This window comes from Homo sapiens, chromosome 8, assembly GCF_000001405.40.
Source record: "Homo sapiens chromosome 8, GRCh38.p14 Primary Assembly".
NCBI classification, from domain to species: Eukaryota; Metazoa; Chordata; class Mammalia; order Primates; family Hominidae; genus Homo; species Homo sapiens.
The window spans coordinates 104,224,987-104,248,022 of record NC_000008.11 but is presented as its reverse complement, the minus strand read 5'-3'; the positions used below and the strand labels follow the sequence as shown (position 1 = coordinate 104,248,022).

The following is a 23,036-nucleotide window of genomic DNA, read 5'->3' as shown; positions in this document are numbered from 1 at the left end:
AGTCTCCTGGTTTCCCACTTTTCCTTCTGCCACTCAGCCTTAACCTCCTCTGCTAGTTCTGACACTAAACACTGGAGCTCGATCCTTTGACCTTTTATCTTTTTTCTATGTCTGAATTCCCTTGATAATCTCATCCAGTCTCATGGTTTTAAATGCCATCTATGCTGCTATTGCCTAGATTGGCATCTCCAGCTTGGATCTCTCCCTTGGGCCACAGACCTATGTTCCAATTGCTTAGTCTACATATCTGCTTGGATATGTAATAGACACCTGAAACTCAAATTGTCTAAAACTGACTCTCTCCATGCTCCTGTCCCCCGACTGCAAACACACAAACAAAAAATCCAAACTCTGGTCCTGTCAAAAGATTTCCATCTTGATAAATGGTAATCTCATTCTTCATTCTTCCAACTGGTCAACCTTGGAGCCATCTTTCTTCCTTCCTCTCTGTTATGGACTGAATCGTGTCACCCCAAAATTCTTATGTTGAAGCCCTAAAGTTCAATATGTCTGTATTTGGCCATAGGCCCTTTAAAGAGAGAAGGTTAAATGAGGCCATTTGCGTGGTGCCCTAATCCAATATGACCCATGTCCTTATAAGAAGAGGAAGAGACACCAGGAGTAGATAAGCACAGAGAAAATGCTGTGAGAAGACATCACAAGAAGGTGGCCATCTGCAAGCCAAGGAGAAGAGCCTCAGGAGAACTCAAACCTGCAGACACCTTGATCTTGGACTTCTAGCCTACTGATCTGTGAGAAAATAGATTCCTGCTTTTTAAGCCACCCAGCCTGTGGTATTTTATTATGGTAGCCCTGGCAAACAAATATACTCTCTTTTCTCTCATTACCCACATCAAATGCATCAATAAATCTTACTTGCTCTACTGTCAAAATACATTCAGAATCTGACCTCACTAATGCTACACTCTGGTCCAAGCCACCATTCCCTAGCTTCTGTATTCCTGTAGCAGCCTTGTGAATGCTCTCCCTGTTGCTGCCCTTGCTGTCCTGGCCCCTTGCCCCCTCAGCACTCAGACTGATATGCCAAAAACGGAAGTCAGATCCTGTCACTCCTCTGCTCAAAACCATCCAACATCTTCTCATCCCACTCAGTAAAAGCAAAGTCCTTACAATACATAAAGTCTACATAAGCTGCCCCCGCCCCTGCCACATGCCCTAATTCCTCATCCTTTACTGCTCTCACCCTTCCTCCCCAGTGCTGCCCTCCTCACTGCTGACACCAGGCCAGCTCCTGCTTCAGGGCCTCTGAAGCAATCTTCATTCTAGAATGTTCTTCCTTCAGATATCCCTCTGCTCACTAAATTCCTTCAGATCTTCACTCGAATATTTCCTTTCCCCGTCTATCCTGTGGCAAATCTTACCTCCACCGTCTTGATCATCTCTCTTCCTTGCTGTATTTTTCTCCTTAGCATGTGTGCTATCTAATCTACTATAAATTTTACTAGTTTTTCTTTTATATACATTTTAACAATTTTTCTTATTGTTTGTCTTCTCTATGAGAGTGTAAATGTGATGAGAGTATTTTATTTTTGGGGAGATGGGGTCTGCTTTGTTCACTGCTGTATCTCTAGCATCTAGAACCATGCCTGAAATATTGTATGTTCTATAGAAGTAAAGGAAAGGAAAGGAAACAAAAGAAAAGAAAACAAACAAAAAAAATAAAAAGGAAAGAAAGAAAAGAAAAGACCCAGATGAGAGAACCAGACCTATATGACTGCAAAGCCCATAATCTTAGCCATGGAGATTTACTCCCTCCCTCCTATGACTTACATCCCCAACGTACAGCACAGTGACTGGCCCACTGGAAGGTATGGTAATATTTGTTGAATGAATTTATGGGTATTCATCCTCTTTTTCCAATAAGACTATAAACATCTGGAGCAGGGGCTATAGTGTAAACATTTTTATATCCCTAACAGTATCTAATATAGTTCTTTGCAATGATTAGTGCTCAGTGCACATTCACTTTTCAGTTGATTTTCCCTCTCTTTTTAGACTTCCTTAATGAATAGTGAATCTATTTCTCCCCCCGACCTCAACTCTCAAATATTTAGTTAATACAAATGTTTTAGTTTGTTTCTATAAGTATCCCAAATAAGCCTACTTACAAATGTAGAGAAACCAGTTATATCTCTTGTATTTATGTTGTTGTGCTAGACAAATTATCCTGAGACATACCATTCATGCTGTGCCAACAGCTCCTACGGCCTCACATCTGTAAACTGGCCACACATAGGTTATCTAAACATCTAATACTTACACAGTGATGACAGTGAGGCCAGTAAACCCCATTTTCCTTTGTTAATGTCCTTTACAGCCCCACTTCCAGATCTTTAGTTGCTAAGTACTATTAATTTGTTGGTGACAGAACTACACAAGCTAAAAATGCTTTAAAAATATCTGAGACAGTTGATTCAAAGGAAAGCTACTTCATAACTATGTAAAAGGCTCCCCAAGTTTTTTGGTGGCATTTCTTTTTGGCTGTTATATTTAATATAATTAAATAATTATAGTTGTTTGTTGCAACATGGAACTAAGTATACGCCAGCATTCCATATTTTTTAGCAATAATTCTCAGGATGGCGATTCTTAAAACTAGCATTGTTCACATGGTGTGGCATGCATGCTTATTATTTTTGGGCTTTTATATATTATTTCAAGCTAGGGCAAAATATTTTATTTGCATTGCATTGTAAGAGTCACACTTTAGCAACTTGCCATTAAGGCAAAACACTTTATCCCCAAACCTATTTCACTTGATATAAAAAGCCAGATATGTCACATTGTTCAGTGGCAGGTGAGCAAAGTTCTCTTCACAGGAAATCAGCCAGTGAAAATTAAAGTGGTTCTGAAGAGCATGAGAGTTGGAAAATCTCTGTGAAAGCACATAGAGTGAGATAGGTGAGGCACGGAGGAGACACACATCACATGCAGCCTCACTCACTTTCCTTCTGAGCTGTAGCTGTTCATGCTACCATCTGTAGACTCTCGGCTTGCCTGTCGAGTCATCCAGTTCCTCATTTCCACGGCCAGGCCTGTTTCTGTACTTCTTTGGACAGTGCTCCTTAGTTTTTTACCTCCTGCTTCTGCAGAGATAGAAACAAAAAGTGTAACAGCTTTGTAATCACTATGTGGTAAGAAATATCAGCGAAGGCTCTGAGATCATCAGATGCAAAGAACTGTGTAAATAAAAAGTGCTCTTGTTAAGGAGGCAGAAAGAAAAGGTATTTAAAACAATTTTAAACAATGTCATGTTGAGTGGGATGAAGATTTTCTAAAAAATCTGTAGAAGCACAAAACACCATTGTTTTATTTCCATTTAAAACAGTGTGCAAATTGTTAATATAAGAAACAAAAAGATTCAACCTAAGGAAAAAAAATAAGCCTTATTTTCATTGTAATACTTAAATGCAGGTTAATTTATGCCTATCTTTTGTTTTCATTGTAATATTTAAATGCCAGATTAATTTCTGCTTACCATATTTTTCCCTTTCTTTTAATCATAGTAAAAGAACCAGGCCTTCACACAATTTACAAAGAAACAGATGGTGAGTAATCCTCAAATTCCAGTCTTAACTTTTATAGGAAAGTCTGTTTTTGTAGGGTGATAGATATTAGAAGGAAAAAGAATCTACACAAAGGAGAGAGCCTAGTTTGCCAATAGTTTCACATCTATTGGTAACTTTCAGAAAGATATTCCAAGGGCAATGCAAAAACTCACCAAAATAATGTGAAAAGAGATTTTTAATTTTTGTTCACGGGTAGTCATGTCCTCAAGGATTTTTAATAGTTTGGTGATGTGATTTACTAATAGAAACCAATTAGAAGACCAAACAGGAAACTGAGTCAAATACTACAGATGTGACACAGATAGGAAGTACTATCTGGAGAGGTCAGGGAAGAAGTATGTCATAGAGGCTGTGGGATTTGAGCTGGACATGAAACATAGGCAGATTGGGACTTAACGAGAGGTGAGAAGAGAGCTTCGTAAGCAAGGGAAACAGCATGGCAAAGGTGCAAAGATAGGGATGACCATGTGCATTTAAGGGAGGTGCAATGACCAAGCACATGTAAAGTAATGGGGGAGTGGGTTCCACAAAAAACTGAGCCCAAATTACAAAAGCTATGAGTGTTGAGATGTGAAGTTGAGAGGCTACCAAAGCTCGAGCAAGAGGGTGATAGTCCAAATGATTTGTACTCGATTACTTCTTGTCGGGCTTAACTATTTATCCACACTGTGCATATTGATAGCTTTTTGGGATACAACCATACGGTTAGCTCTTTTAGTGGCTGGTATTAATAAGTTCTTTTTTTTTGAGACAAAGTCTTGCACTGTTGCCCAGGCTGAAGTGCAGTGGCACAATCTCTGCTCACTGCAACCTCCGCCTCCCGGGTTCAAGTGATTCTCCTGCCTCAGCCTCCCAAGTAGCTGGGATTACAGGTGACCACCACCATGCCCTTCTAATTTTTTGTATTTTTAGTAGAGATGGGGTTTCGCTATGTTGGCCAGGCTGGTCTTGAACTCCTGACCTTGTCATTTGCCCGCCTTGGCCTCCCAAAGTGCTGGGATTACAGGTGTGAGCCATCGTGCCCAGCAATAAGTTATTTTTAGGTCTATAAATATTTGCTGATATTGCCAGTGATTTGTCGAAATCTCTTTTCACCAAGTCTCTTAGAAGTACTTGCCATTTTGAAATACTGCTTTAAATTTCATCCATTCTCTACTTCCAACATTAAGGTACACCAAAATGCTTTAAAGAGTATAAATGAAATATAAATTATGACTGATCTATAACTCAGTTCCGCAATCTAAGGCTGATATTTTAGATAATTGGTAGTAAACATGTTGTACTGATATGAACTGTAACAAGATACAAAACATCCCCTACTAATAAGGGAAAGATCTTCTTTACAGCAGAATATTAGTAAATGTAAAAGCATTAAATTTTACATAAAATTCAAAATTTACCAATTTGCAACCTCCATTGGAATCAATGATATAAGCAAGGCTCATCAATGGAGGCTAACACTATTAGATGAAAGGTTGTAGAAAGGATACTCATATGAGCCAAATAATTGTTCCATAAATTATTCTAATTGTTAAAGGAAAAAAAAAGTACTTTAACACTGGGAGACCAGGCTGCCACCATTTTAATCAAGTGATGAAACTTAGTAGCACTAAGAGGGGACAATCATATGCACCTCCAGATATAAAATACAAAGCATCACTTGTCAAGTTGTTCTAGACAAAAACATGCAACCTGTTTCTAATCAGATCTTTGGAGCCAACTTCAACTTTTCAAAAACAGGTGATAGAGTAACAAGGTATATGATAGACACACATACATAAAACAATCAGAGAAATCCAGAACATGGACTATTGTTCAAGAAAGTTGGCCTAGTCTCTTAAAAGAAGTTAATATCATGAAAACAAACAAAGAAATAAGGTAAGGGAATTATTCTGGATTAAAATATATCAAAGAAATTTAACCATCAAATGCTACGAGTGTACTTGAACTTCTTGTTTGGGAAAGCAAAACAAGAAACCCTATATGCAAAACAGTATAAAAGTAATTTTAGGACAAGTTAAGGAAAATTTGAATATGCATTTGACATTAGATGAGATTAGAAAATTGTTATTTTTTAAGGTGCATAATGACACGTATTATAAAGAATTTTCTTATTAGGAGATACATGCTAAAGTATTTAGACCTGAAATGTTATATATTCTGCAATTTACTTTCAAATGGTGTAGGAAAAAACAACAAAACAACAACCAAGCCCCCACCCCCAACCCAAAACTGCACATATATGTTTCAAAAAATGAGGGAGAATGTTAAGGAGAAATGAAAGAATGAGAATGCAGAGTACATCCTGATATACATGAAGTTAATATTTATGATTTCATTTGAGTGGTCCTCAAATAACTATATCAAAAAGTAGGCTGGGCATGATGGCTCACACCTGTAATCCCAGCACTTTGGGAGGCTAAGGCAGGCAGATCACTTGAGGCCAGGAGTTTGAGATCAGCCTGACCAACATGGTGAAAATCTGTCTCTACTAAAAATACAAAAATTAGCTGGGCGTGGTGGCCCATACCTGTAATCCCAGCTACTTGGGAGGCTGAGGCTAGAGAATCACTTGAACTCAGGAGGCAGAGGTTGCAGTGAGCCGAAATTGCACCATTGCACTCCAGCCTGGGTGACAGAGCAAGACTGTGTCTCAAAAACAAACAAACAAACAAACAAACAAAAACCCCAAGCAAGAGGTAATACAATTTTGTACAAGTGTGTCTCTCCATGTAGCTTTAATGTTCACTTCCTGTGAACAGCGCTCTTGTGAAAAAATTCCCATCAGGTGAGACATAAAACTTCAGTGACATTTGAGCATGTGGAATGAGGATACGTACAAGAAACATACGACTTAGAAAGGAAATGAGATTCTTAAAGATCTCAGAACACAGCCTCTGCAATGTCAAAGATCTAAAGTTTTTAATTTAAGGTCTGACTCTATCATAGTTAAAGCGACTTGAAAATCTGCCATTATAGGGTTATGAGAACCAGCACCGTTTGTCAAAGAATAATATGATAAGCATGTAATTTTTTTGTTTACAGGTTGCTTCTTACATGTATCCCCTTCATAACAATGCTAAAAATCCCAATTTTACAGTTATAGCATCTAAGGGCCCCAGAAGTTTACATAATTCCCTGAAGCAACATAGTAAGTGACAGAACCAGCATTTGTAGACAGTTCCCAGACTCCACATTTTCTGCTATTCAGTACTTCACTGTCAGAATATAACTAAATGGGGAGCTTGTGCAGCTGTCTATGGAGATTTTACTGTGCTAATGCTGTAACTGCATATGGAAGGCCCTATTAGAAGCAGCTTAGTGGGGTGGGAAAAGCAGAGCACAGTGAAGGAGTCAGGCCCTGGGATCAAACTGCTTCTCTTTTAGTCTCCACTCTACCATTTACAAGGTGGATGACACTGAGCAAGTTACATACCCTCTCTGTGACTCAGTTTCCTCAAACTGAAATGACAGCAATAATAAGCCTACCTCATTAGGAATGAGGTAGGAATTTTTGTGAGTATTAAGGAAAACAATGCATTTAAAGCACTTAGGATAGTGCCTGATGCATAGAAAAGCTTCAATTAATTATACTGTTATTATTACCAGATACAGAATTTGAAACTATGTATTCTAGGTCTGACTCTACCACTAACTTGTGAGCTCTATCTATTGTCCTCTCTGAGTCATATCCCCTCTCTGAGTCTCTGGCTCCTCATTTATGAAAAAGGGAGGGGGAGGAGGGCAGATGATATCTGATATCTTTGAGTTCTAATGTCTACGAGTTTGTGTATTAATGCATAACCAAGACCATGATTAACAGCATACATTGAGGAGATATGCTAATCACTATCATCTGACATAATCAAATAAATCCAGCTAATATACTGAACATTTATAGTAGCCCTTTAATACATGTCTTTTTCAATGTTCCATTATCAAATACATTTATAGGCTTATTTTAAAAGTAATTTATTTTTCAGCACCACAAAATCTTTAGCTACATTTACAATAAAACTAATTTAACTTGAATGTCATTCATTACCATGAATCACATTTAATGTTCCAAATGATTTGTCACATTATTCAACTTAAAAACTGAATCTACGTAACAGTGAAGGTCTATAGAAAGAAAATGTGGTAGGGAGAATTCTAAGATGACACCCATGATTATGTTACTTTACATGGTAAAAGGGATTTTGCAGATGTAATTAAGGATACTAATCAGTTGACCTAAAGATAGGGTGCTTATCTGAATGGGCGTAACTGAACCACACCAGCCCTTTCAAAGCAGAGTGCTTTCTCTGTCTGGTTCCAGAAAGGGAAATCACAGAGATGTGAAACACAAGAAAATTCAATATACTTCTCTCTGCCTGAAGAGGGAAGGGGCCACATGGAAAGGATGTGAGAGCAGCCTCTAGCTGCTGGGAGTGATGCCTGGCTGACAGCAAGAAAATGGGGACTTCAGGCCTGCAACTGTAAGGAATTGGATTCTGTCCACTACCGAAAGGGCCTTGAAAGCTGATTTTCTCCCCTAGAACCTCCAGACAAGAACTCAGCCCAGGCAACATCTTCATTTCAGCCATGTGATGCTCTAGAGAAAAAACCCAGCCAAACGTGCCAGACTTGTGACCTACAGAACTGTGAATTAATAAATGGGTGTTGTTTTCAGCTGTTAAATTTGTGATAATTGTTATACTGTAATATAAAACTAATACAGTAAGTTCTGAGTCCTTTGTAGATAAGTTTTTTACATGAGGAGACTTATTAAAATATCCTATTATGACTTAGGGGTGGACCATCAAAACTGTAAAAACTTAACCATTATTTTAAAAAGTGTACATTTAAAAAAGTATACACATACATATAAACATACACATGCATACATAAACATATATGTATAATGTGTGTGTGTGTGTGTGTATTGAGACATCAAAAAATACTCAGGTAAGGCCCAGATGGTGTTGTTGTTGAGCCCTTAAATCACTAATTTTGGTATTAGGTATTTTAAGCCAAAGTACATTTGGAAAAGATGCCTGCAGGTAAAAATCAAGTTCTTGAACTGCAAAACATCACAGGCAGAAGGAAGAACACAGGTGTCCTCGTTATTCTGCCCTGCTTAGTCTGAATGACTCATTTACCTGGCACCCTCAGTAAAGCCATTTGATTAAACAAAAGACCAAAGGGTCAGTTTCCCCTAATAATATCTGGAAACCAGAAAACCTTTTTGGTTACTTGACAACAAAAACCAAAAGATCCTTTCTGCTACTGACTTGGAAACTATTTTAAGCCCCACCCAAGGCAGGGCTTACAATGCATTGTCAAACTTAATGTCATGGTGACCTCCTTTCAAATCTTGGATTCACATAACCCATTCCTGGTTGCTCCCACCTGCAAGGTCTCATCTACTGCAGACAGACTTACTTTGGATTCAGGGTTTTCTCAATGTCAATATGGAAAATGGTTTATGGAAACAGGATGAAGAATAGTTGGCAGATTATGAAAACTGACTTTACATTTTAGTTTAGACCACAATTTATATGCTTTAACGAGTTGCTATTTTTGCATTTATTCAAAATTACCATTTCTCAGAGTGAGTATAATTTAGAAAACCATTTGTGTTACATTTAAAGCATATTAAAAAATGCATTACAATGAATTTCTAAAATTATTGACTCACAGATTTTAGGAAGCAATCTTGGGTATCCAGTATATCTATGTAGTTTATGCACTCCCTTATTGCAGCAATGAGAAAGTTGAGGTCCTGAGTGGCTAGTTTGTCTTTGGTAGAAGACTTTTTCGTCTTTAAGAATCAATAATTGTAAATTCTACTTTTACTCTCTTCCATCTTGCTCCTTTAATTCCTAAAATTTAAATATAACAATTGTCTCCAGCACCTTCATCAACCTCTGTGGTAGACTCTGTGGACATGACTTCTCTCCCCTCAGCAGATTTTTTTTTTTTTTAATTTTACTTTAAGTTCTGGGATACATGTGCAGAACATACAGGTTTGTTACATAGGTATACATGTGCTATGGTGCTTTGCTGCACCTATCAACCCATCATCTAGGTTTTAAGCCCCACATGTATTAGGTATTTGTCTTAATGCTCTCCCTCCCCTTGCCCCCTACCCCTCAACAGGCCCCAGTGTGTGATGTTCCCCTCCCTGTGTCCCTGTGTTCTCATTGTTCAAATCCCACTTATGAGTGAGAACATGCGGTGTTTGGTTTTCTGTTCTGTGTTAGTTTGCTGAGAATAATGGCTTCCAGCTTCATCCATGTCCCTGCAAAGGACATGAACTCATTGTTTTTTATGGCTGCATAGTATTCCATGGTGTATATGTGCCACATTTTCTTTATCCAGTCTATCATTGACGGGCATTTGGGTTAGTTCCAAGTATTTGCTATTGTAAATAGTGCCCATCGGCAGATTTTATAACTTCCCTCCCATCAGCAGATTTTATATCAAGATATGAAAGATGTTTATTTATTTATTTATTTGGTCCTGCAAGACCTCAATATGGGGACACTGTCATGGATTACTCTGACTGCATGTAAAAGCTCATACACTTATGCTTCTCAGGTCTTGCTACTATCACAAATATAATTCAAATCTCTAAAAGTCTAAACAAAATAAAGACAAATAGCCAACAATTTCGTCTGGGCTAATCCAGGCTCTGCATTTACAATTAAAACAAAAATTGAGATTAAAAATTAACAATTGACACACAAAATTGTTTCGGACTTTAACATGAATCCATTCATTCCAAAAGCTTTGTCACAACTATTTAATATTATAAAAGTTACATATCTAGTAGCTACAGCATGGTGAGCTTCAAGCAGGGGTCATGATTATGGTAGATGTTAGGTCTATTCATGTATATTCACTTTATTCCCACCTCTGAAGTTAGGTGTGGTCATGTGACTTGTTTGTCCAATGAAATGTGAGCAAAACTAACCCATGTAACTTCAAGGCAGAAGATTTAGCAGCTGATGTATGTATGACTCACTATGTCTCCTTCCATCAGCCTGAGTACAGCCACACACAGGACTCTCAATGGACAAGTAGTGGGAGTGAGACATAAATTTTTTGTGTTAAGCCATTAATATTTTTAGTTGTTTGTTACTACAACCTAACCTATTCTGACAGATACATACAATAGATAGTATTCCATTTTCTTGTAAATAAAGTTTTAAATTTGTCTATTTTTTTGTTTTCAACATCATTTAAAAATTGGCCATTTTGAATACAGCTCTGTTAAAAACTCTGAATTTGATATTCTATTTTATAACTGTTTTCATGGCTTTTGCTTTATAAGCATGCTTAAAGAAATTTTAATCATTTTTCTTAAAATTCAGATTCCCATTTAAAACACACTGAAATAATTTTAAATAAATATTTGATTTTAGAATAGTTTTAGATTTACAGGAAAATTGCCAAAGATAGTACAGAGAATTCTAGCACCCCCACATCCAGTTTTCCCAATTATTAACATCTTACATAGGTATGGTAAATTTGTGGCAATTAACTAATATTGATATATGACTATTGACTAAAGTTTATACTTTATTCTGATGTCCTTAGTTTTTACCTGAAGTGCTTTTTCTGATCCAGGATACCACATTACATTTAGTCATCATGTCTCCTTACGCTCTTCTTGGAAACTAATTTTTTATGTTTCTAATTCCTGATATTCTTTTACATTTCTAACTACTTTTCGTCTGCTCTTTGTATATAAAATTAACATGCAGTATGATGACCCATAATAGTATTCACATATCCATTAATAAAACCACTTATTTTCAGTAAAAACTATATAAATTGAAAATACTTGTCTATAGAAAAGTAGAAAATGTCATGTCATATGTGAAAATGCTGTATGTAAGAAAATAAGTTATCAATACTATATTAATCCACTTTATGACATAATGTAAAAGCATAGACTTAATACACATTTTAAGTCTATTTTTAAGTTTGATTATGTTTCAAAAAAACTCAATTAAAATTCCCAGTCCCAGTGTAATAATTGATTCAGGCAAGGGTCAGCACTGGATATTACAATTATTGGATAATTTTTAGAGAACAGAATATTCATGTGGTACCAAAGTATTACTCCAGAAATTGCTTAGTAATTATAAAGAGAAAAATATATGTTTTCCATAGAGAGAAACTAGCAGTCACCTCTTAACCAAGTGATGAAATGTAGCATGCCTAGGAGTAAGAAATCTTGACATTATGTGTCTATCGATGGACTATATAAAGTTTATATCACCTATGACATTTAACTCAATGTAATCACATCCCTAGGTCTAACCTCCAGTTTACTGGAAATACAGGGAATAGAGAGAATGATAAAAAAAAAAAAATCCAGAATGTTGGACATTCTACAAGACAGTTTTGTCTGGATTCTTCAAAAGTCAATGTCATGAAAAACAAAAGGGAAAGTACTGTTTTAGATTATGCGTAACAACCAAATGCAATGAATAAATCTTGACTGAATCCTGGATTAAGGAGAAAAACAACAAAAAGCTTTAAAAAACATTTTTTTGGGGGACAACTGAACTGAAGAAATTGGATACGGAATGAATATGAGATAACAAAGGGGTTTTTGGGTTAATTTTATGCTTACATATATTTTTTTAAAAATTTGAGATGTATGCTAAAAGTACTTAATGATTTATCATGATGTCTGCAACTTAACCTTATGCTCAAATGGTCGGTAAAAATACATACCACGTGTATGTGGTGTATGTATGTGAATGCATGTGTGTGTATGAGTGAAAAGAGAGTGAGAAAGAGAAAAGATAAAGTCAATAACGTCTGTCAGTCTATGTAGTGGATGTTCATTGTATTATTCCCTTTTTCATATTTAAAATATTTCAAAATAAAAGTTGGGAAAAAACTCAACTACTCAATTCAGAACAAAGGAGGGAAAGAGCTATTGTTTCATGACTTACAACTATGTGGAGATGCTTTGGATATAAAATCTACCTATCTCTAGTTTTCGTAAGAAGATTGTATGGCAGTGATGACTACTATCATTTTCCATATGAGGAAAGTGCCCAATTCACACAGTTGACTAATAATATAGATGAGATTTGAACTCAAATTTTGGCAATGTCAAAACCTAAGCTTGCTTCTCAAAGCATGCTGGGCTTCCATCTTCACTTAGTATTTTGGACACAAATTTCTAATTCCAGAATAATCAGTGACTTGAAACCTCATCTCAGGTTCTCCTTGCATGTCCAAATAAACTTAAAATACATTGTTTTATGGGTAGTGTTGAGACTCAGATCATTCACGTTTTTTGTTCTCTCATGAAAAATGGGGATATGTCACTTTCATCACTAAATTCTGACTTCATGAAAATGATGGTAACGTATTTATGATAAAAATGGAAACAAATGTGCTAGAAACAGTTATTCCCTACAATATACATATGCATTTCAATCTCTCAGCATGCCACTTTGGACCAACCCACACGAAAAATTGGAGATTTCATCAAACTATACCATAGCTGTCAATAGGACTGAATACACCGTGAAAAATTGCGGATTTGCCAACATGTGGAGTTGAAAAGGATCTTGACCTCTTGTGTGTCTTGATCCTCATCTGCAAAACAGAGGGATCAAGCCAGAGGACTGGCATACCCATTTCCCATTATGGGTTCCTGTAATTGTTAATACTGACTTTTAATGAGAAACAAGACCTTATGATGAAATAAAGCTTATGACTCTTCTGCAGTAAGATAATTATATTTTTTTCCATAAAAGTAAGGCTTATCATTTTGGTATTCTTAACACATTTAAATACAAGAAATTATAGCTGTCATTGTTATTTTGGCATTTGTAATTTTTTGGTACTTTCTTGTTTTTCTTGTCTGATGTTGCTATTACTACACTAAAGGGGATAAAGTAAAAGCCCATTAGAAAATAATCCATTCCTGATCCACAGTTAAACTACTTAGATAGAGTTGCATATCCACTACCTCACTCCTTGGCTTTTTTTTTTTTAAACTTTCAGATCTGTACTTGATCATGCATCAGTCCACTGATACCTGTGCCTGTTTCTGTCTCAAGAATGGATGTGAAATATCACCAACCTCTTCGTAACTCTCAAGTTAGATATTTTGAGGCAATATTTTATGGTTGGATGAACACGCCATTTTAGAATCAGATGATATGAGTTCAAGTTCCTATTTGACTATTTGCAAATTTTGGGCAGGTAACTTATCTTTCTGTAGGTCAGAGTTCTTTGGTGCAAACTTGGAATCCTAATTACCCTATGCCATAGAGTATACAACACGTAGTGGTGTTTAATAAATAGTGTTGAAAAAGAATCAGATCCTATAATCTGCACAGTTTTGGAAACTGAATAACATATGAAATTATCATAAATCTCCAGAAAAAAAACTATGCATAAATAACAGGCCTTGCCATGAAGGGGAGAGAGCCTATTGGCCAAATTGAACTAAGGGGTGGCCTTCCCACCCAAATCCTTTTTTTCAGATGATATCAAGGTGGCTGCCATTAAGTTGAAAGCAAAGGAAGTGAGTAGGGCACAGAGGCTAGAAACTAAAATACCAGAATCTTTAGGCTGAAAGCCTGTGTCTAATGAGGCGTTTGGCTGAAGAGACTCACACTTGAAACTGATTTGAAGCAAACAGACTGTAAGCCTACTGAATTTCTGCACTACTGGTATAGAAAAAAAATACTAGCTTACCTTACAAAATTCTGTTGAACCCATAAGATAACAATGGAGTTTCCAAACCTGTACTAGAAAGAAGCAGGCTATGACAGCAATGAAGCCAACTCTTCAATACAAACCTTCGTGGCCATAGAGAATAAACAACGAAGAAACACCTTCCTGAAAACAGAACCAGGGTTGCCAGATGAGTAAACTAAGAAACGTACTCTACTGTCAATCTCTGCCATTCCTACCAAGTGAGATTGATAACTCCTACAGATGACTGATTGTTTTGTGTTTCCTATTCTCTCCTTTCTAAATGGGAATTTTTCTTTCAGTTTTTCTGTGGCTACCATACATTTAAATTAGATTTAACAGAGTCAGATAACGGAGGCAGATAACTTGTTTTCAGCTTGCAGGTCACCATAACATGAAAAGCCACATCGAGATATGAGAGGACTACACATTGCTCAAAGATTCTAGATTTCGACCAGCCGGATAAGATTTTGAGGTTTTAAGGTTGTCCTTCTGAGGAGGAATTTATTATGCTCTATATGAAAAAACAAGAGAATGCATGGATATTGGGTGGTCAAATCTGCAGAAAAAGTTAAAATTGAGAATGCCATCTTCTTTACCTTAGATTTCTTCTATAGATTTCCCCCCGTTCTTGTCTGCTTATGCTCAATGAACAAAGAGGAAAATAACAATATGACAAACTCTTATTTAAAAGAATTAAAAAATAGCTAATCATATTGAGCTTAGTTTTTTTTTTCTTACCACTGGTAATTATTTTATATTACAAAGTGGATATTTGTTAATGTTTTTGGCTTACCAGCATTTAAATCTTCCTTCTACATTTGAAAAATATCCCATATCCCATCCTTCAACTATAGAAGTTAAAATAGGAAGGTGCTACTTTTCTAGCCTGCTTTGCAATTAGGGTATAAGCACATGGTTGAGGCACTACTTTTCCAAACTTTGAATCTGAAGCTAATAAAGCAAAGAAGCAGAGACACCATAGGCTTTCATTCCAATGAGGGTAGTGGCCAGAATATACTTTCCCGAAGTTATCCTGTAGCAGCATGTAGTGATTTGCCATGAGTCCTGACAATGGTGCAAGCTGTGATATCTGTGCCAAGTAGCAGTGATAGTTTAGCAGGATTAACCTGCAGTATGGTTTTGGGCATCACTCCTAACCTACAGCCCAGAATCTCCAGCCTTCCTAGAGATTCTATGACCTATCCAGGATCCCTTAGCAAATACCTTTCTTTTCTGCTTAAATTGCCAGAATTGATTTCTGTTGATTGCAACTGGGCACCTGAAAGGAAACATGTTGCATATGCATGTTTCTTTGTAATGTATGATAGAAAAATATGTTGCTAGTTTATATTAAGCTAAGTATACACAACTTCTATGTGTAGCACAAAGAATGCATAACATTCAAGTACTGTTGTACCTGCAAGAATGCAAACAATCACCTAATCAGTATGGTCCCTTTCAGATCTAATAGCTTCTTTTCATTCCACAATAACAACATAGAAACCGACCAGGTACTTGTTCATTTATTCATTCACTACATGTTTGTTAAGTACTTCTTGGATGTAAGGTACTGTGGGAGATAACAAATATGTAATACATGATCACATAATTCCCAACTATATGATTTTTAAATTTAGTAGGTAAGATAGTACACAAATAATAATGCAAGGCAATATGCGCTAAGTGCTTTATGAGTGGTAGTAAGTTCCTAGAGCTGCATTGTCCAGTAGAACTTTCTGTGAATGAGAGAAATGTTCTATAATTCTGCACTGCATGATAAGGTAATCACTAGTCATACGTAGCTACTGAACACCTGAAAGGTGGCTAGTGGGACTGAAGAATAAAATTTTAAATTTTTAAAAATTTATTTAAATTTAAACAGTCACATGTGGCTAATACCTCATGTAGTAGATAGCACATATTTAGAGGTTCAGAAAAAGGCAAAAATATTTTGAAATGGGAGTATAAGGGAATAGTAAGCATAATACTAGTTCACGATATTCATCAAGATAGGTATTGTTATGTACACTTTACATACAAATGAGGAAACTAAAGCTGAAAGAAATTGTCTTCACAGTCCATACAACTAGGAAGAGGTGGAGCCAGTATTTCCAATTCAGCCACACAGTTTTTCCTCTGTCTACAGAAGCTCCTATAGCTTCTGAATACTTCATACAGTAGATGGAATATGAGCCCAGCTTTGAAGGACAATTAGACAGGATATATATACAGTGGTAAAGGAAGAATAGAAAGAAAGGCATGAACAAAACTTTGGAGACAAAGAGCAAGAAGACTTAGTTTCATAGAATTACTAGCCTTGGGAGGTGGGGATGCTAAACCATAAAAAAAGAAAACACCTCATATTGTTAAAGAACTTGAATGTCAGGCTAAAGGCTTTACTTAGTAGGAGATGTAAATCTACTGAAGTTTTTGAAGGAAGGGTAGTGTTAAGATGAAGATGGGGTTTAAGAGAACTGATACAGGAGCAGTGATGTTGGATTGGTCCAGAAGGGAGAGAGAGAGAGCAGGTTGGGGGGTTATCAGATCACTTCAAAGGTGAGCTCACGTGTCCCAAACTACCAAGGTGACAACGAGAATGGGAAAGAAAAACGAGAACTGAGAAAAGTTGGGAATGAAGCATTTCCTTGGCAGAAGTTGCAAAATATTGGTCTTTAATGTCAGGCCACATTTGGTCAATAAGTGTGTTTTGTTTGGCCCAAATAATGTTTGAAAGTTTTTATTCATGTGCCAACATTTTAAAATATAAAAGTTTTAAGTAAACAACCAGATTTATAGCTTTCCTTCAGGAAAAGAAAAAAAAGAGTAAATTTTCCAACCTTGGGCTGACATTCAGTCTGGCATTAATTAGCTAGAACTGACTATTCATCCTTCTTTTATAGATAGATAAGCTTTCTCCAGCTCTTTGAGTCCTTGTCTTTTCCCTTTCGTTTTATTCCCGTCCGACTTCACTGATGCATGTTTCTTTCCTGGCCTGTGATTTACAGGAATAATAAGGGAACAACCAATTATTTTATTTTATTTTATTTCATTTTTATTTTTTTGAGACAGAGTCTCACTTTGTCGCCCAGGCTGGAGTGCAGTGGCTCGATCTTGGCTCACTGCAACTTCCGCCTCCAGGGTTCAAGCGATTCTCATGCCTCAGCCTCCTGAGTAGCTGGGATTACAGGAGCCTGACAACATGCCCAGCTACTTTTTGTGTTTTTAGTAGAGACAGGATTTCACCATGTTGCCCATGCTGGTTGTGAATTCCTGACCTCAGGCGATCCACCTGGCTCGGCCTCCCAAAGTGCTGAGATTATAAGCGTGAGCCACCGCGCCTGGCTGATAGTTTTATTTTTAAGTTGCTAAAATAAAATTTCCTTTCCTTTTAGTCTCATTTAAACAAAACCTATTTTTTTTTTTTTTTTGAGATGTAGTTTTGCTCTCGTTGCCCAGACTGGAGTGCAATGGAGTGATCTCAGCTCACCCCAACCTCCACCTCCTGGGTTCAAGAGATTCTCCTGCCTCAGCCTCCTGAGTAGCTGGGATTACATGCATGCACCACCAAGCCTGGCTGATTTTGTATTTTTAGTAGAGACAGGGTTTCTCCATGTTGGTCAGGCTGGTCTTGAACTCCCGACCTCAGGTGATCCGCCCACCTCAGCCTCCCAAAGTGCTGGGATTACAGGTGTGAGCCAGCATGCCGGCACAAAATCTAAATTTTAAAAAATGGTACTTCAAATCCTTTGTTCTTGGTGATCCAGACAAAAGCAGACACCTTTGGTGATGTCTACGAAGCTCACAATAACCACTTCCCTTCTTAGTTGCCCACAGAAATGCATTTTTGGTGACTAAATTTATACATACATGGCCTTGCCTTCTGGCTGTATTGGGATGGACCAAACTGGGTAAGTGAAATCTCTTCTTTGGGAATTTGGGAGTGGGACTGAGAAAGACAGAAATATGCAGTGTGGGTGGAACTGTGACAGGTGAACTTGGATGCCATTGGCTGCCATTTTCCATAGGCCACATGGTCTGGGTAATAGAGCAAGGGAGAGAGCTAGCTGCCGAGAAAGAAAAAAGCAGCCATGCAAAGACAGAATCAACGGCAAGAAATGGGAAAAGAATGCTCATGGGTTCCTAACAGCCTTCTGGCTCCCAGTTTAGGTCCATGTGAGGCCTGGTGGGATTTCTGCTCATGGGTTTGGTACATTATCTTTGCATAAAGCATGATTTACATTACAATAAATACCCTGTTTTCATTTAAAGAGTGATACTTCCAAACTAGAATGATACTATCATTTTTGTGTGTTTTCTTCTTGTTCAAATAATATTATATATACACAGCATTAGGTAAATCTCCCTCCTCCCCAATCAAAAACATTTCAATATGAAAGAGAACAAATATACAGAATGATCTTGTCTGATCCATAAATAGGGGCCTATTTAATAATAGCAGAGAACATTTACATTAAAACACAGTCCTTGGAAGAAATGGGATGCTGTTATTATAACTTTCTAGTGAGTTTCCTTCATAAGTCATTATATATAAGATGTTTCTACAGGGAAACTAATTCCTGTTACTGGTAGTGAACCTGTTAAAGGATGAAAGCAAATTGAGGTTTAATTTTACTTTTATATTAAAGGGTTTTTTCCTTTGTAGAACTCAGTCTATTAAAGTTTTAAATTAAAGACACTATTTGGACACATGGTGGTGAAAGATTCTGAATCTTATATGAAAAAGGTAATATTTGATAGGCATTGAGTGGAACTGTTACTCAATTTACTTTTCTTAATTCCAAAATCTTTTGCTTCACTTTGTCTGTTATAATGTAAATCTAACATAAAAAAATATTGTGCTATTTTTGAACAAGGTATGAACTCATTTATGGAATGATTTGTTACACATAATCTAGAAAAAATAATATCCCCTATAAAAAGAACCATAGTAACTGTCTATCCATGTCCTGCTTCCAAGGTTGGCTTCATGAAGATGGGTAAAAACTATGATCACTGCATTTAAAAAAGTCTCTATCACATGTTACATTTTAAACAGTATAAATATAATGGATGGATGGCAGTCAGTTATACTGATATTCAGTGTGAAAAGAATGGTGGAACTATATACTGTTAATTATTAATAGACACTGAATATCACTGTGCTAGGTATGATGTTTGCACTTTAAGAGGATTACATTTAAATGTATGAAGAATTTTTCTTATTTCAACGGCGTAAGGGCAAAGTTCTAAACTATTTTAATCAAATGGGACTGATTATTAAGAATTAAGTACATTATTTACTATACACAAAGACTAGAATAAGATATGTCTCTTTATACTCTTCTTGCTGGGTGAATAAACCTCTTAAAGAGTGAAGCTAGGCCGGGCACGGTGGCTCATGCCTGTAATCTCAGCACTTTGGGAGGTCGAGGCGGGCTGATCACGAGGTCAGGAGATTGAGACCACCCTGGCTAACACGGTGAAACCCTGTCTCCACTAAATATACAAAAAATTAGCCAGGCATGGTGGCACATGCCTGTAGTCCCAGCTACTTTGGAGGCTGAGGCAGGAGAATGGTGTGAACCTGGGAGGCGGAGCTTGCAGTGAGCCGAGATCGCACCACTGCACTCCAGCCTGGGCGACAGAGCAAGACTCTGTCTCAAAGAAAAAAAAAAAAAAAAAAGAAAAGAAACACACAAAGAGTGAGGCTGAGTTAAATAGGTCTTTTTATTCCAGTTTATTTAGTCAATTTTATTTTAATTCCTCATAGCTTCACTATCACATGCAAAGACTCTTTCCTCAGTTTTCTGGTGATTTTAAAGCTATTCTTATTTCTTAGATGGTTTTCCTATAATTTATTTTTAAGCTAGTGGGATGTAAAAGAAGTCAGATGAGTTAATTTATTCAGTTTTATAGTATTAAGCTGATAGGATCTCTTCTGTATGATTGCCAAACTATATTTGAAACAAAGGTGGCAGATCATAAAATCAGGCAGGCCAAATTCATCACATATGGACATAATTAAACAAGAATCACTAACCCAGAGCCACATGTAACATTAAGATAGCTTCTGATAAACCAGATTCCCCAAGTATTAGAAAATGTGCCATTTTCCTACATTATAGGGCCATAATCATTTGCCCTTGGATCTATGGGTGAGAAGTTGTGGGGCTGCTTCTCTTATTAAGAATGGTAACATTTGCTTGAAATAGTTCCTTCTTTCCTATAATTGTCTCTAATGTTTGAAAACTCTACACATAGTAATATCCTACATTAGGGAGGTGGACTCAGTGTCGAGCCCAAGTAGTTTATATAGTGAAAATAATTCTTATCTCAAAGGGTTCAGTGATAAAATAAGTAAACATAATTTATAAACTGTTAAATAACATGTAAGGTACTATTACTACTTTCACTTAAAAAAAAAAAAAACCTCAGAGATTTGGAGAGCATCTACCTGGAATACACCCAGGGAAAAGGATGCAAAAAAAAAAAAAAAGAGCTCCAAGTATACAAAAACGATTCCACAAAGACCATCGACAATCTTAATTTATTTTGTTTATGGGAATGTCCCTTTCATCCTCACTGAAGTAAGCTTCACTGAGATTTATGATCTGGGGGCAAGTTGTTTAGCTTCTCTGAGTTTTGGTTTTCATATGTGTAAAATGAGGAAAATAGTAACATTCTTGAAAAATTATCATGAAATTAAAGGAATGTGGCACATAGAAAGTGCACAATGAATGGAAACTTTTATTATTGTTCTTGGTTTTCAAGACCATAGCATATTAAAAGGAAATGTCATATAATAATGAAGAAGCAACATATAGAGTAATTAGATTATAAATTTCAAAGACAGATTTTGGGTTTATATCTTAACTCCACCACTTATTAATTGTGGGCTCCAGGAAAATTCTTTTCAAAGGTGTGTGGGAGGCTGCTGATACTGGCTTGGTTCATGAGAAACTGAGAGTTATCACTGACACCTGAATCAATGTTTAACCCTCACTTTCTCAGGGCACCCTTCTCTAACTCCTAAATTAGGCTTTCTTATAATTTCTTGTTGCACTCTGCCCTTTACCCTCCTAACACCTGTCACAGTTATAATTATGTAGTTATTTCTATTAATGTCTACTTATCTCCGTTAGGCTGAAAGCTCTGAGAGGGAAAGGAGCACATCTACCTAATTCATTAGAGACTCATTGCTTCTAACACATCAAATACCCCCAATAAATATTTTTGAATGAATGAATGAGTGGATGAACGAAAAGAATATGATCTCTCTGTAGACTTCTTGGCACTTTTTGTGTAGAATGGAAACTCAACACGCTGTACAAGAAGAGAATGTGAATATGGAACTGGAAGACAGGGTATACTTGAAATTCTTTAGCTATTGAACTCTTTCTGAAAAGAATAAAAAAAAGAGACTAGCTTTAAAATCAGACTGGCTTACTGAACTGATTGGTTAATTTAGTCAAATCACACTGGTTAAATCATACTGGTTAGTAGATCCGTGCTCTTTAGACAAGTTGCTATTAACCAGTGTGAAAATCATACAGTGGGATGGATTTTCTTTATAAATGTGAATGAGTCTCACAGTTATGATAATAGTAACATAATCCTGAATATGTTAACCACATGACCTTCATGTATCCTGTGTGGGTGTCTCAAAAGAAAAAAAAGGAAGTAGAGAAGCACTGCTTTAGGCCAATGATTTCTAACTTTTACAATCCTGCAGAGTATGTTGAAATACCTTTAAAAATTCCAGGACTTTCAAAGGTGTTAAGAGAATCGCAAAATCAAAGAAAAAAGTTAAGATTTCTACTCGTGGCTGTAAAAATGACTGTAAGCCAATGGAAAAACCTCTAATTTATGGAGAGTGTCTCCTCTCTAGTTACTAGTAGAGAACTGTATGGTTAACTTTAAAAACGCCGTTTCCCATATAAAACATTTTGTCTTGGCAGCTTAAGAAGCCATATTATGGGATAGAAATCTGTTCCAATTTCCATGTGTAGATGTAGGAATTTCCTTTGGGATTAGTCTGTGTGAGCCATAGTTAAGCAAACGTACTTCAAATATTGAAATAATTTCATATTTATATACATTTTTCTTGTCTCAAAAAGGTTTTTGGAATGATATTTTGTAAACTCAACAATCCTAATCATAATTTAAAGAAAAAGGATGATACCTTATCTGAAGCAAACTCAAGACTGAAGACTTGGTGTAAAAATAAAAATCTGGGAAATGAGTCCATAATAACCTATGTTTTATTTAAATATGTATTTTCAGGCACAAGTGGTTAAATTCTAGCCTCATCACTTACTATGTATGTGAATGTAGCCAAATATAAGAAAATAATAATCTAGTATAGCTTGGGAGCTGAATGAATAGGTTGTGTTGCTGAATGCCTGGGTTCAAACGCTGGCTCTATTACCTACCATCTTGGTGACCCTGGGCAAATTTCGGAACTCTCTCCCTGCCTCAGTCTTCTCATTTGTGAAATGAGGATAACAAAAGTACTGCTTCATAAGGTTGTTGTGGGCCTAAAAGAATACACGTCAAGTGTAGAACAGTGCCGGACTAATAATAAGTACTAAAAGTTTTAGCTACAATTATGATCATTCATTTACTCAATTTAATTTACTTCTCGACTTGTTTACATTTCCTAGAATTTTAAATATTTAATTATAGGAAGCAAGTGAAACGTAAACGTACAAACAAAAACAG

General features: G+C 36.5%; 1 protein-coding gene across 66 annotated transcripts in view, besides 1 other annotated feature; it reads right to left on the bottom strand.

Moving 5' to 3' along the window:
• Nucleotides 1-23,036, bottom strand: part of RIMS2 (regulating synaptic membrane exocytosis 2) — a 755,485-nt gene that overhangs the window by 8,072 nt on the left and 724,377 nt on the right. For 65 of the 66 annotated variants that reach the window (NR_145711.2, XM_017014015.3, XM_017014010.3 and 62 more), the window contains one exon: nucleotides 2,966-3,107. Coding sequence is in view for 64 of the 66 variants with exons in the window: in XM_017014015.3 (XP_016869504.1) it covers nucleotides 2,966-3,107 (142 nt within the window). In the remaining 2 variants the exon portion in view is untranslated. Of the gene's footprint in view, nucleotides 1-2,965; nucleotides 3,108-14,416; nucleotides 14,457-23,036 lie in introns of all 66 variants that reach the window. The other variant, NR_145710.2, reaches the window with a different exon arrangement.
• Nucleotides 2,992-3,061: an enhancer, noted in NCBI's record as "active region_27792". NCBI's record gives its function as "activates an Ori minimal core promoter by ATAC-STARR-seq in GM12878 lymphoblastoid cells {active_cell/tissue: GM12878}" and the evidence as "EXISTENCE:reporter gene assay evidence [ECO:0000049][PMID:35858748]".